General features: G+C 45.6%; 1 long non-coding RNA gene across 2 annotated transcripts in view, besides 1 other annotated feature; it reads right to left on the bottom strand.

Moving 5' to 3' along the window:
• ZNF594-DT (ZNF594 divergent transcript) overlaps positions 1–11,710 on the bottom strand; it is a 43,997-nt gene that overhangs the window by 27,260 nt on the left and 5,027 nt on the right. The gene's annotated exons all lie outside the window — the stretch shown is intronic.
• Positions 136–315: a silencer, noted in NCBI's record as "silent region_8066". NCBI's record gives its function as "represses an Ori minimal core promoter by ATAC-STARR-seq in GM12878 lymphoblastoid cells {active_cell/tissue: GM12878}" and the evidence as "EXISTENCE:reporter gene assay evidence [ECO:0000049][PMID:35858748]".

The raw sequence follows: 11,710 nt of genomic DNA, 5'->3' as shown, positions 1-11,710 counted from the left end.
GTCCATGAGCTCAGTGGGCCCCTCCTTTTTTTTTTTTTTGAGACTGAGTCTCATTCTGTCACTCACGCTGGAGTGTAGTGGCACAATCTCAGCTCACTGCAACCTCCCCCTCCCAAGTTCAAGCGATTCTCCTGCCTCAGCCTCCTGAGTAGCTGGGATTACAGGTGTGTGCCAACACGCCTGCACCCGGCTAATTTTCTGTTTGTTTTTAGTAGAGACGGGGTTTCACCATGCTGGCCAGGCTGGTCTTGAACTCCTGACCTCAAGTGATCCGCTTGCCTCAGCCTCCCAAAGTGCTGGGATTACAAGTGTGAGCCACCACGCCCAGCTGCCCCCTCTATTCTGACTTCAGCTGAGCTCTTTCTCCCCAGCTGGGTTGCCTCTAAGACATCTCGTTGTGACTGCCCCACACACCCCCTCAAGTTCAGCAAACACCAAAAGGAACTGATGACCTACCTCCAGTCCCAAATGTCTTGTGCTCTACTATCTTCTTAGTTGCTGAAGTCAGAAACTAGTATCCTTCTCCCCACACTGCTTTGTTTCCAGAGCTCCCCATGTTACTTGTGCCTCCCACGTGGTTCTCCAATGAGTCCACGTCTCTCCGTCACTGTTCTGAGGTCAGACAATTGCCAGCGCTTGCCAGGAGAATATCAACAGCCCCCTGACTGCTCCCCTGCCTCTGGCACCTCACCTGCCGTCCACTTTCTACATGGCACCCAGTGACTTCCTAAAGTGAACATCTGACCACTTCATTCCTTTGCTTAAATCTTCTCTTTGCCCGTTAACCCCAGAAAAAGACCAAACTCTTTAACATGGCTTACAAGATTTGTCAGGATCTGGTCACTGATTATCTTTTGCCAAACTCTTCTCCCCCAACCCCCTTGCAACCTCCACTCTGCCCAAGTTTTTTGCTCCAGCCACTTAAAATGACCTTCACAGGCCGGGCGCAGTGGCTCACACCTGTAATCCCAGCACTTTGGGAGGCCGAGGTGGGTGAATCATGAGGTCAGGAGTTTGAGACCAGCCTAGCCAAGATGGTGAAACCCCGTCTCTACTAAAAATACAAAACGCAGCCGGGTGTGGTGGCACATGCCTGTAATCCCAGCTACTCGGGAGGCTGAGGCAGGAGAATCACCTGAACCTGGGAGGCAGAGGTTGCAGTGAGCCTAGGTTGCACCACTGCACTCTAGCCTGGGTGACAGAGCAAGACTCCATCTCAAAAAAAAAATAATAATAATAAAATAAAATGACCTTCACTATGGTCCCTCTTGCCCTGTGCACAGCGCTATTCCTCTGTATGAAACATTCTTCCCCACCTTTGGATCCTTCCCATTTCATCTTGGCTACCCTTTCCTCATGACCCAACTTGGGTTGGTGCCTCCTGGATGCTCTCCTTTCATAGCATTAGCATGTTATAATTATTGCTTATCTGTCTCTCTCCTCCACTAGACCCAAAGCAACATGAGGGCAGGGAATGTGTCCTTCTTTCCTCTACTGTTTTCCCTGTTCCTAGCACAGTGCCCAGGTACATTGTAGATGCTCAATAAATATGTTGAATAATCAACTGGGTTGAATGAATGAATCAATGAACTCTGAGCTCTCACAGCTCCCATACTTGGCCCTATGGAAATACTTCTCCCTTTGTATTATAATTATTATATATTATAATTATAATTACCTGGTTACTTTCCATCCTCCTTTCTAATCTGGGGGCTCCTTTGGGATGGAAATTGTCTCAGTGCTGTATTCCCAATGTCCAGCACAAAACCTGGCACATGGTAGGCAATATTTATTGACTGTTGAACATTCATGGAAAATCTACCAATTGGTTTGACAAAACAATTTTTTTTCCTCTGGACATGTGTAATTTGGCTGAGATTTTATACTGGGAACGTATAATAAAGCCAAGTTTTCTACTAGGGAAATTGTTACCAGTTTGGATGAGATTTAAATATATCAAGATTTAATAGGATCTTTTTGTATAGTCCAGCACCACAGGAATCCCCAAGTTACCTATTGAATACATACTCATCAATAAATAAAGTTAGAAATAAGGGCTGGGCGCAGTGACTCACGCCTGGAATCCCAGCACTTTGGGAGGCCGAGGCAGGTGGATCACCGGGGGTCAGGAGTTCGAGACCAGCCTGGCCAAGATGGTGAAACCCCGTGTCTACTAACAATACAAAAAATTAGCCGGGCATGGTGGCGGGCACCTGTAATTCCAGCTACTTGGGAAGCTGAGGCAGGAGAATTGCTTGAATCTGGGAGGCAGAGTTGCAATGAGCCAAGATCATGACATTGCACTCCAGCCTGGGCAACAGTGAGACTCTGTCTCAAAAAAAAAAAAAAAAGAAATAAGGAGATAGTTTCCATCCTGAGCTATATTGAACCTGAAGATGACTATGATGATGTTGAAATACCCACAAATACTGAAAATCATCATTTTGAAAGAACTCCTGTTCTGCCACCTTAACTGTTTTAAGAACTGATGCTTGGCCAGGTGCGGTGGCTCATGCCTGTAATCTCAGCACTTTAGGAGGCCAAGGCAGGCGGATCACTTGAGGTCAGGAGTTTGAGACTAGCCTGGCCAACATAGTGAAACCCCATCTCTACTAAAAATACTAAAATTAGCTGGGCATGGTGGCGGGCGCCTGTAATCCCAGCTACTCAGGAAGCTGAGACAGGAGAATCACTTGAAGCTGGAAGGTGGAGGTTGCAGTGAGCCGAAATCGCACCACTGTGCCCCAGCCTGGGCGATAGAGTGACTCTGTCTTGAAAAAAAAAAAAGAACTGATGCTTTACTCATACCACAAATCAGTGGATTATAGTTTTCCTTATAATAATTACTATCTGATCTTCTTTGCAATACAAACAAGATTGTTTTCAGGAAATGCACTGGTATTACCAACAACAAATTTTACAAATCATGTGTATTCGATAGGATGCTTTAGGCTGCAAAGAACAGACTATCCAACTAAAGATAACTTACACAATGAGGAGTTTATAATTTCACAAAGCAAGAAGTCTAGAGGTAAACACTCCAGAATTCAGCAGCTCCATAATTTAGGGGTGTGGACTAATTTCAAATTGCTTAGCCTTATCCTCATGGTGGCAAAATAGCTGCCACAGCTCCAAGCATCTGTACATGATAACATTCAAAGTTAGAAAGAAAATGTGCATTACTAACATGTATCTTTTTTTTTTTTTTTTTTGAGATGGAGTCTCATTCTGTCACCAGGCTGGAGTGCAGTGGTGCGACCTTGGCTCACTGCAACCTCTGCCTCCTGGGTTCAAGCGATTCTCCTGCCTAAGCCTCCTGAGTAGCTGGGACCACCACACCCAGCTAATTTTTGTATTTTTAGTAGAGACAGGGTTTCACCATGTTGGCCAGGATGATCTTGATCTCTTGACCTCATGATCCACCTGCCTCAGCCTACCAACATGCTGGGATTACAGATGTGAGCCACCGCGCCTGGCTGTATCGTTTTATTAGGGAGGTGAGCCCCCAGCAACTTTCCCTAATGTCTCATTGGCCTGGAGTGGTCCACATACCCAGGGTTTTAGTCCATTTGGTCTACTATAACAAAATTCCTTAGACTGGATAATTTGTTAAAAACAGAAATGTTGCTGAGAGTTCTGGAGGCTGGGGAGTCCAAGATCAAGGCGCCAGCAGATTTGGTGTTTGGTGAGGGCTCACTCTGTGCTTCACACCTTCTCACCGTGTCTTCACATGATAGAAGGGGAAGACAGCTTTCTGGGGCCTCTTTTATATTATTTTATTTTTTGAGACAGAGTCTTACTTTGTCACCCAGGCTGGAGTGCAGCAGCACAATCATAGCTCACTGCAGCCTCAAACTCCTGGGTTCAGGTGATCCTCTCACCTCAGCCTCCTGAGTAGCTGGAACTACAGGCACATGCCACCACACCTGGCTGTTTTTTTTTTTTTTTTTTTGAGACGGAGTCTTGCTCTGTCGCCCAGTCTGGAGTGCAGTGGCATGATCTCAGCTCACTGCAAGCTCCACCTCCTGGGTTCACACCATTCTCCTGCTTCAGCCGCCCAAGTAGCTGGGACTACAGGCACCTGCCACCACAACTGGATAATTTTTTTGCATTTTTTTAGTAGAGACAGGGTTTCACCATGTTAGCCAGGATGGTCCTGATCTCCTGACCTCATGATCCACCTGCCTCGGCCTCCCAAAATGCTGGGATTACAGGCATGAGTCACCGCGCCCGGCCTATTTTTTTTCTTTCTTTCTTCCTTTTTTTTGGTAAAGATGGAGTCTCACTATGTTGCCCAGGCTGGTCTTGAACTCCTGGACTCAAATAATCCTCTTGTCTCAGCCTCCCTAAATGCTGGGATTACAGGTATGAGCCACCGCACCCAGCCTGGGTCCTCTTTCATAAGGGCATTCATCCCATTCATGAGGGCAGGGCCCTCATGATCTAATCACCCCAAACACCCTGCTTCTTAATACCATCATCTTGGGGGTTAGATTTCAACATACGAATTCTGTGGGGACACAAACATAGACCATAGCATTCTGCCCATGACCTCACAAAATCCATGTCCTTCTCAAATGCAAAATAGATTTATTCCATCCCAATAGCCCTAAAAGTCTTAACTCATTCCAATAACAGCTTTAAAGTCTAAGTCAACATCTCAACTAAATGTTGACTCATTCCAAGTCTGGGCAAAAGTCAAGATATGATTCATCCTGAGGCAAATTGCTCTCCAATTATGAGCCTGTGAAATCAAACTACTTATACAATGTAAGTATGCTTCCAAAATACAATGGTGGGACTGACATAGGATAGAAATTTCCATTCCAAAAGGGAGAAATAGGAAAGAAGAAAGGGGTGATGGGTCCCAAGTAAGTCCGAAACTCAACATGGCAAACAACATTAAGTCTTAAGGTTTGAGAATAATGTTTGACTTGACGTCCTACCCCCCAGATATTGGGATGGGGGTTGGGCCTCCAAGACTCGGGGCGGCCCCCCCATGGCTTTGCTGGGCACAGCCCACTCTGCAGCTTTCATGAGTTGGAGTCTCGGACCTGCAGCTTTCCCAGGCTGGAGTTGCACGCTGGTGGCCCTAACATTCTGGGGTCTTGGAGGCACCCCCGTCCCCATGGCTGTGCTGGGCATTGCCCTAGTGGGGGCTCTCCGCAGTGGCCCTGCCCCTTTGGCGGTGCTCCGTCTGGGCCTCAAGATTCCCCCAGGAATCCTTTGAAATCTAGGTAGAGGTAGCAATGCCCTCACAGCCCATGCACTTTGCGCAGCTGTGGAGATAAAACTGCTTGGACACCACCATGCTTTACTGTCTATGCCTCCCAGAGGGATGGCCTGAGTCACAGCTGGGCCCACTTGAGTCACAGCTAGGGTATGCCAGGAGCCCTGCACCAGAATGCAGGGAGCAGAGCCTTGAAATCGCTTTGACTTCAAGGTCCTAGTTTTCTGGGCCTGTGATGGGCAGGGCAGCCTCTAAAGATCTTCGGAATGGTTTCAGGGTCCTTCTTCGCTGTGATGCTGAGCATCTGGCTTCCATCTCCCCACACTAACCTCCTTATCAAAAGTTTCCTTGGTCACATTCTTGGTGTTTTCTCTTCAACAAGCTTTTTCATTCTTTACAACATGGGCAGGTTGGTAAATTTCTAAATATTTAAATTCTGCTGCTTTTTAAATCATAAATAACATCTTTGGCCGGGGGCGGTGGCTCATGCCTGTCATCCCAGCATTTTGGGAGGCTGAGAAGGGCACATCGCCTGAGGTTAGAAGTTCGAGACCAGCCTGGCTAACATGGTGAAACCCCGTCTCTACTAAAAATACAGAATTAGCCAGGCGTCGTGGCACAAACCTGTAATCCCAGCTACTCAGGAGGCTGAGGCAGGAGAATCACTTGAACCCAGGAGGTGGAGGTTGCAGTGAGCCAAGATCGCGCCACTGCACTCCAGCCTGGGCAAAAAGAGCAAAACTCTGTCTCAGAAAGAAAGAGAGAGAGAGAGAGAAAGAGAGAGAGAGAGAGAAAGAGAAAGAAAGACCATCTTTAATTGGTTTCTCTCTGCTAGCATTTTACTACAGGCATTCAAGAGAAGCTTTGCCGCACTCTCAACACTTTACTCAGATATTTTTTCCACCGAATATCCTATTTCATCACTCAGAATTTCTACCTTCCATAAAACACTAGGACATACAATTCAGCCACATTCTTTGCCAGATAATCAGGATCATTTTTCTGCCAGTTTCCAATAACATGTTCTTCATTTCCATCTGAGACCTCATCAGAATGGCCTTTAACATCCATACTTCTACTAGCCTTCTGGTACAACCTCTTAGGTAATCTCTAAGAAAACTGAGGCTTTCTCTGTAGCTCTCCTCTTCTTCTGAGCCCTCACCAGAATCACCCTTCACAATCTATTTACAACAATACAGGCTTATTTTGTGTGTGAGACAGAGCCTCATTCTGTCACCCAGGCTGAGAGTGTAGTGGCTCGATCTCAGCTCACTGCAACCTCCGCCTCCCAGGTTCAAGCGATTATCTTGCCTCAGCCTCCCAAGTAGCTGGGATTACAGGTGCCCACCACCACACCTGGCTAATCGTTGTATTTTAGTAGAGATGGGGTTTCACTATGTTGGCCAGCCTGGTCTTGAGCTCCTGACCTCAAGCAATCCACCTGCCCTGGCCTCCCAAAGTGCTGAGATTACAGGCATGAGCCACCGCGCCCAGCCAATTTTGACTCTTTAAAGAGATTCAAATAATCTCTTAAGTCAGTAGTCCAAAAGGCTACGACCAACAATTTTGGTTTATCTTCCCGTTGAAAGGATCCTCCATACAGAACTCCACATCCAAACCTATTCATGCTGTATCAACAACTTTAGAACCCAGTAACTCCAGGAGTCTGGTTATTATGACAAATGAATACAGTGGACCATCTCTTCTGCCGAGGCGACAGTTCCCTCATTTAACCCCACTAATAGCTAGATAATCCCCTAAAGACAGATTTAAAAAAAAATTTCTTGCCGGGCGCCATGGCTCACGCCTGTAATCCCAGTACTTTGGGAGGCTGAGGCGGATCATAAGGTCAGGAGATCGAAACCATCCTGGCCAAGATGATGAAACCCCGTCTCTACTAAAAATACAAAAATTAGCTGGCGTGGTTGTGCGCACCTGTAGTCCCAGCTACTCGGGAGGCTGAGGCAGGAGAATCGCTTGAACCTGGGAGATGGATGTTGCAGTGAGCTGAGATTGTGCCACTGCACTCTGGCCTGGCGAAAGAGCAAGACTGTATCTCAAAAACAAACAAACACAATTTCCATTTGTTTTTGTGATGTATGTTGCATCATAGTACTATTTCTGCGTGAACATGTCTCCTGAATTGGAGTTTGCTTCTGTTTATAACCTATTCCATCTGCTTTCCCTGAGTGCACATGTGTGTGCTCTGCCATGGCTAAGCGGCAGAATGGAATCTCACTTAAATTAACAGTTGATTGCCAAACACCCTCCAGCATAAATAGGTAACCGTTGACTGTGGTCGCATTTCATTTTACTGGAGCAGAGTGTACATACAACTATGTGCCAAACTACTGTCAGAAACAGCCAATTAATATCGCTGCACCCTTCCCCTTCAACTGTAAAACTCAACCTCTCATATTGACCAACGTATTTCTTTTTTTCTAGCTGGGATTATAGGCTCCCACCACCACGTCCGGCTAATTTTTGTATTTTTAGTAGAGATCGGGTTTCGCCATATTGGTCAGGCTGGTCTCGAACTCCTGACCTCAGGTGATCCACCTGTCTCGGCCTCACAAAGTGTTAGGATTACAGGCATGAGCCACTGCGCCCAGCCTGATCAACATATTCCATTGCCAAAATTTAATGCCATTAAAGTTTTAGATCAGCTACACTTGAACAATTAAATATTCTATGAATAATTTTAAAAAGCCCTAAACTGGTAAAAATAAACTCTCATTTACAAAGTGAACTATAAACTAACAGCCTTTAAGTTGTTTTAACACTAGATCCCTCTGTATTTTTTTTTTTTTTTTTACAAATTAGGTGTTAGTGGAACATGGTTTTAACAAAAATTGCAGAAGGTAGTATTTAAGAATAACGAAATTCCCCTGATGTTAAAAAAGGTTTATTTGCATAACTTGTACACTTTTATCCCCAATGAGCCCCCAAACAAAAATAAATTTTCCGATACATGTAATGTTGATACTGTACAAAGCCATTCTCAGTGACCAAGAAAAACTTCCTCTGAGAACATTTAAGATAAATGTGACCCTGCTTTTCACAGTATTGTTTAGAAAAGAAAATGAACATTTCATACAGCAACTCACTGTTGTATTGTATCACTAGTCTACTTTATTTTTTTTTCTTTTACTAGTCTAATAATTTCACAATTCTTTACAATTTGAGATTTGGGAAAAACAACGACAAAAACATCAAGGATATGTACTTTTTTTTTTTTTTTTTTGAGACAAGGTCTTACTCTGTCACCCAGGCTGGAGTGCAGCGGCACAATCTCAGCTAACTGCAACCTCTGCCTCCCAGGCTGAAGCCATCCTCCCACCTCAGCTTCCCAAGTAACTGGGACCACAGGCATGCACCACCATGCCTGGCTAATTTTTTTTTCCCCTAAGTTAGTAAAGGCTTCTAACTAACTTTTAAAATTATTTTCTGTAGAGATGGGGTTTTGCCATGTTGCCCAGGCTGGCCTCAAATTCCTGGGCTCAAGTGATTTGTCCTCCTCAGCCAGTTTTTTTGTTTGTTTGTTTGGTTGGTTTTTTTCTTTCTTTTTTTTTTTTTGAGACAGAGTCTTGCTCTGTCGCTCAGGCTGGAGTGCAGTGGCGCGATCTTGGCTCACTGCAACCTCTGCCTCCTGGGTTCAAGTGAGTCTCCTGCCTCAGCCTCCTGAGTAGCTGGGACTACAGGCGTGCACCACCATGCCCAGCTAATTTTTGTATTTTTAGTAGAGATGGGGTTTCACCATATTGGTTAGTCTGGTCTTGAACTCCTGACCTTGTGATCCACCCACTGAGGCCTCCCAAAGTGCTGGGATTACAGGCGTGAGCCACCGTACCCGGCCTGGTATTTTTGGGGTTTTTTTTGTTTGTTTTTTGTTTTTTAAGATTAGCTTTTGACCAGTTGAGGTGGTTCACGCCTGTAATCCCAGCACTTTGAGAGGCCGGATGGCTTGAGGTCAGGAGTTTGAGACCAGCCTGGCCAACATGATGAAACCCCATCTCTACTAAATATATAAAAAAAATAGTCAGGTGTGGTGGTGCGTGCCTATAATCCCAGCTACTCAGGAGGCTGAGACAGGAGAATTGCTTGAACCTGGCAGGTGGAAGGTGCAGTGAGCCAAGATTGCACCACTGCACTCCAGCCTGGGAGATGGACTGAGACTCCTTCTTAAGAAAAAAAAAAAAAAAAAAAAAAAAAAAAAGGCCAGGCGCAGTGGCTCACACCTATAATCCCAGCACTTTGGGAGGTTGAGGTGGGTGGATCACGAGGTCAGGAGTTTGAAACCAGCCTGGCCAACATGGTGAAACCCTGTCTCTACTAAAATACAAAAAATTAGCTGGGCGTGGGAGTGCGCGCCTATAATCCCAGCTTCTCGGGAAGCTGAGGCAGGGGAATCACTTGAATCCAGGAGGCGGAGGTTGCAGTGAGCCAAGATCGCGACACTGCACTCCAGCCTGGCAACAGAGCAAGACACCATCTCAAAATAAATTTAAAAAAAATAATAAATTAGCTTCAGCCACTTTGGAGAGCAATTTGGCAACACCTAGTAAAACTGAAATTGTGGACACTGTAAAACACAGCAACTCCACTTCGGGATAGATACCATAGAACAGCAGTCCCCAACCTTTTTGGCACTAGGGACGGGTTGGGAGGAAAGGGGGGAATGGTTTTGGTATGAAACTGCTCCACTTCAGATCATCAGCCATTACATTCTCGTAAAAGGCGTGCAACCCAGAGTCCTCATGTGTGCAGTTCACAATAAGGTTCGTGCTCCTATGAGAATGTAATACCGCCCCTGATCTAACAGGAGGCAGAGCTCAGGAAGTAATGCTCGCTTGCCCTCCACTTACTTCCTGCTGTGCAGCCTGGTTCCTAACAGGCCACAGACTGTACTGGTCCAGGCCCGGGCAATGGGGACCCTTGCCCTAGAACAGTGAGTCTCAAACCACTTGGTACCAGGTCTCCATTGCACTTAAAAATGATGGAGGGAGCCAGGCTCAGTGGTGAGAGCTTGTAGATCCACCTACTTAGGAGGTTGAGGTGGGTGGACTGCTTGAGCCCAGGAGTTAGAGGCCAGCCTGGGCAACATAGCAAGACTCAATCTCTACAAAAACTAAAAATAAAAACGTTAGCCAGGCATAGTGGTGAGCACCTGTAGTCCCAGCTACTTGGGAGGCAGAGGCGGGAGGATCACTTGAGCCCACGAGTTTGAGGCTGCAGTGAGCTATGGTGCCACTGCACTCCAGCCTGGGCAACAGAGTGAGACCCTCTCTCCAAAAAATAATAAAATAACTATATTTTCCCAAACAAAAAAATTAGTGAGAAAAGTGTCACTGTGTATGTTACATTTTTTTTTTCAAATCTCATATCTGGCTTAATAGAAAACATCTGAATTCTCCTATCTGCTTCTGCCATCAATTTGTTGCAATGTCGTATGTCATGTAGCCTCATGGAAAGGTCCATTGAACATTCGTGAGAAGAGTGAGCATGAAAAAGGCCAAATAACATCTTAATATTATTATGAAAATTGTTTTGGTCTCATGGCCCAGACCACTCTTTGAGAACCACTGCCCTAGAGAAACTCAAGTGTATGTATAAAACGTTCTTTGTAGTATTATTTGTTATAATGAGAAGGTGGAACCAACCTATCTGTCCATCAATGAGGGACTATAAGATCCACAGGGACTACACTGGTGTTGCTTTGCTCACCATTGCATTTCCAGTAACTTAGCATATATTAGCACACAATAGGTGCTCAGTCAACTTTTGTGGAAGTAGAGAAGGAAGGGAGAGAGGCAGAAAAGAAGAAAGTGAGGAGGTACAAATATTGTTCTGCAACCTGCTATTTTAATTCAACTCTACCTCATGGACATCTTTTCACAGATTTAGACTCTTAGTTCACAGGGTAGGAAAGCACAAAGGCCATAGGACTCTTGCATAATGGGAAGCTTATTTTTCTATTGTCTAAAAATAAAGGCGTATTTAAGATGTCTCTTTAGGCAGGGCGTGGTGGCTCACGCCTGTAATCTCAGCACTTTGGGAGGCCGAGGTGGGTGGATCACCTGAGGTTGGGAGTTCGAGACCAGCCTGACCAACATGGAGAAACCCCGTCTCTACTAAAAATACAAAAATTAGCCGGGCATCATGGCACATGCCTGTAATCCCAGCAATGTGGGATGCTGAGGCAGGAGAATTGCTTGAAGCTGGTAGGCAGAGGTTGTGGTGATCCAAGATCAGGCCATTGCACTCCATCCAACCTGGGCAACAAGAGCAAGACTTCGTCTCAAAAAAAAAAAAAAAAAAAAAAAAAAGTCTGTTTAATACAACCACGGGCTGCAAATCACTGCCACCTAGTGGTGTATTAAGAAGTTCACACATGGGGCCCTGGCGCGGTGGCTCAGGCCTGTAATTACGGCACTTGAGGAGGCCGACCTGGGTGGATCACCTGAGGTCAGGAGTTTGAGA

This window comes from Homo sapiens, chromosome 17, assembly GCF_000001405.40.
Source record: "Homo sapiens chromosome 17, GRCh38.p14 Primary Assembly".
In the NCBI taxonomy this organism is placed as follows: domain Eukaryota; kingdom Metazoa; phylum Chordata; class Mammalia; order Primates; family Hominidae; genus Homo; species Homo sapiens.
This window is presented reverse-complemented; position numbering and strand designations above follow the sequence as displayed.